Source organism: Homo sapiens, chromosome 5 (assembly GCF_000001405.40).
Source record: "Homo sapiens chromosome 5, GRCh38.p14 Primary Assembly".
Lineage (NCBI taxonomy): Eukaryota > Metazoa > Chordata > Mammalia > Primates > Hominidae > Homo > Homo sapiens.
The window spans coordinates 28909352-28913389 of NC_000005.10; positions in this window are offsets into that span (position 1 = coordinate 28909352).

The window sequence follows — 4038 nt, forward strand, 5'->3', positions numbered from 1 at the left end:
ATATATGATAACATTTCTTACTTTTATAGGGAGTATACTAGATTATGCAGTAAAAAATAACTACCTTTGTTAGGTTGAATGTTGTCAGTTTACCTAAATTAAATAACTTTTTGTTCATTCCAATACAAAAATTATCAACAAGTAGATATATCATTTATAACCAATTTAGAATTTTAAAGTATCATGGCATTATTATTATTTTTAAACAATACTGAATATGAACTCCTTATAAACATTCAGAACTCACACAATACATGTCATTTATAAAAGATGATTCATGGTTGGGCATGGTGTCTCACGCCTGTAATCCCAGCTCTTTGGGAGGCCGAGGTGGCTGGATCATCTGAGGTCAGGAGTTTGAGACCAGCCTGGCCAACATGGAGAAACCCCATCTCTACTAAAAATAAAAAAATTAGCTGAGTGTGGTGGCTGGCGCCTGTAATCCCACCTACTCTGGAGGCTGAGGCAGGAGAATTCCTTGAACCTGGGGTGGTGGAGGTTGCAGTGAGCCAAGATTGTGTCACTTCATGCCTGACTGGGCAACAGAGCGAGACTTCATCTCAAAAAAAAAAAAAAAAAAAAAAAAGAAAGAAAGAGATGATTCATTAATAATTTGTTTGAGATTAAAGGTGAACATTATTGTTTCTCAGATAATATGTGCAGTGGAAATAAGTCTGAATACATAATACTTTATGCAAAACAAGATCTATTTATGTCCCCCTTCTTCTTAATAGTAAAAAGTTAATGCTAATACATTTGGATCTCCTCCATCACGCTGCTGAGGTTGAGTCTAAGTTCTTGGGGATATGTAATGTAAAGAACTTAAGGACTAGTTATATGATCTTCGATGTCTCTTCCAACCTATGATAGCATCTCTGGAGACATTTTGAGTTGTTCTAATATCTTACCCTAGGTGTATGCAAGTCACTGTCGTATTTTCCCACGTTCTTACCTTTTTTCTAATCTGGCTAAAAATTAACTGCTTTCAGTGTTCTCTATGGTTCCCAAGTTTTATCTTTCTATTTTTGAAAAAGCACATCATATTCTGTGGCATTGTTTAAGATACTTTAGGATTTGTGTCCTACTATTTAAGATGCCCTGGCAACATGTTAATTCTCCAGGGCATGCTCAGGGGAGTCTGATTTCATCACAGATACAAGATATGATATGCCCTTTACACTCTAGGGCCTTGCCGCCACTTCATACTCTATTTAGGAGTAATATTTCCCTCATATTCAAACTTCCTACATCTATCTATCTCTCTATCTATCTATCATCTACCTGTCTATCTGTCTATCTATCTCTCTATCTCTCTACCTATCCATTTATCTCCCCTAGAGTTTTTTCTCAAGGACTCATCAGTATTATTTGCCCCTCGTCCTACTCATTACTAACCTACAACACAGAAAAGCCCATCAGGTAACCTGAGGGTTTGATAATTTAAATAACACCATGTTTTCTTCTAGCTCTGATATCTTCATCAGAACTTACTCCCTTTTCACAGGGCTTACACTTTCTAAGTTCCAACTATAAAAGTTTATATTTTCTATATTATCAATTGAATTACTCCTTTTCTGAGGAATGAATAAAGCCAGTTCCAATGTAGAAAAGTGAGAAAAATCAAGAGTAATAGAAAATCGAGTGTGAAGAAGAATTGGTTAATGTTTCAAAAACAGAATCTCACCATTCTATAAATTATTTTCCTAATGTTGCATATAACTATCAGATTTAGTTTAATGAACTGTCAGAAAGGTGATTAAAGAGAAAATGCTCTCACGCATAGATCGCAAATCTAAAATTTATGTTTATCTTTAAAATTACTACTCTTATTGGGTCTCAAAAATATTTTCTGAATTCTTAAAATAGTGATTTTAGAATTCAGAAAACTCTCATGGTATTGCTAAGCCATTTAGTATGACTTTACTTTCCCAATCAAAAGAAATTCTGTTTTATATGAATATTGATTCAGGTCTAAGTCCTGTAGATAAGATTCTAACAACCTACATACACTTTATGGATAAAAAATGGCAAGATCCATTTTAAGGCCCATAGTTAAATTGCTAATTTGAGAATTTAGCAGTCTTGAATATGCTAGGTTTTCAGCGACTGTGGGAATTTTTAATTTTAAACACTGATTGAAATGTTCTTAACAAGTTAGATAAGATACATTCTTTATTCCTTTTTCTGCTTTTTTTTTTTTACTTTTACTTGTTCTGATATATAGAAATTGTTTTCTCAAAAGTGTTTCATATGGTTTATATGTTTTCTCCCCTCCAAATCTCATGTTGAAAGGTGACCTTCAGTGTTGGAGGTGGGTCTAGTGAAAGGTGTTGGGTCATGGGGGTGGATCCCTCATGAATAGCTTGGTGCTGTCCTTGTGGTAATAAATGAGCTCTCTCACTGTTTGTGTTCAAGTGAGATCTGGTTGTTTAAAGCAGCCTGTCATCTCCTACCTCTCTCTCTTGTTCCTACTCTTGCTACTTGATGCACTATCTCTCCATTCACCTTCCACCATAATTCTAAGCTTCCCCAGGGCCTCAGCAGAAGCTCAACAGATGTGGGTGCCATGCTTTTACAGCCTGGAGAAGCATGAGCCAAATAAACCTCTTTTCTTTATAAATTACCCAGCCTCAGGTATTTTTTTATAGCAATACAAGCAAGCTAATATAGAAAATTGGTACCAAGGAGTAGGGAATTTCTATAAAAATATCGGAAGACGTGGAAGTATCTTTGGTAGTGGGGAACAGGCAGAGTTTGGAGGTCTCAGAGAAGACAACAGGGAATGAGAAAAAGTACAGAACTTCATGAGACTTGTTAAATGGTTGTGACCAAAATACTAATGAAAATACTGCCAGTGAAGACCAGGCTGATGAGGTCTCAGATGGAAATGAGAAAGTTATTGGGAATTAGGGCAAAGGTCACATTTGTTACACTTTAGCAAAGAACTTGGCTGAATTGTGCCCATGCCCCAGGACTCTGTGGAAGTTTGAACTTAAACAGTGATGACCTAACGTATCTAGCAGAAGAAATATCTAAGCAGCAAAATTTTCAGGGAAGCAGAGTATAGAACTTTGGAAAAGTCACAACTTGACCATGTGATAGGGAAGGAAAAATCATTTTCAGGATAGAAATTCAAGTGGCATATGGTGCAACCACTTTCTATAGAGATTAGCGTAACTCTGTAGAGCCAAATGCTAATAGCTGAGATAATGGGAAAAAAGCCTCAAAGACATTTTAGAAATCAGTGAGGCAGTCCCTTTCACCATAGGCCCCGAAGCCTAGAAGAAAAGAATAGGTTTTAGGGACAGGCCTAGGGCTCTACTGCCCTGTGTGACCTCAGGACCCTGCTCCCTGCATCCCTGCTACTCCAGTTCCAGTTGTGGCTCAAACGACCTACAGCTCAGGCCACTGTTTCAGGGGGTGCAAGCCATAAGTCTTGGTGGCTTCTGTGTGATGTTAAGCCTGCCGGTGTGCAGAATGCAAGAGTTAAGGGAGCTTGTCAACTTTCACCTAAATTTCAGAGGAGATACCAGAAAGCCTGGGTGCCAAGGCAGAAACCCACTGCAGGAGCAGAGTCCCCACAGAGAGACTCTACTAAGGTTAGATCTAGTTGTTTAGAAGATTCTGGTATCTCCTCCCTCTTTCTCTTGCCATGTGATGCACTGGCTGCCCCTTCATCTTCTACGATGATTGTAAAGCTTTCTAAGGCACTCAACAGAAGTTGAACAGATGCAGGTGTCATGCTTGTATAGCCTGTAGAACCATGAGTCAAATAAATCTCATTCCTTTACATATTACCCAGCTTCAGGTATATCTCAACAGTAATGCAAACAGGCTAACACAGTGATCAAAGGGGAGTTAGGGAGAAGTGAGGCTTATGTATATTATTCTATCATTTTTGCTAAAAATTTTATAGCACATTCAATTAGTTATAGAATTGATCTTTTATGAGAAGAATAATCAAAGGGAAATATAATAATCATATAAGTTATAGATAATTCATCAGAATTTTCTTCTTATTCTTTTATACCAATTGTG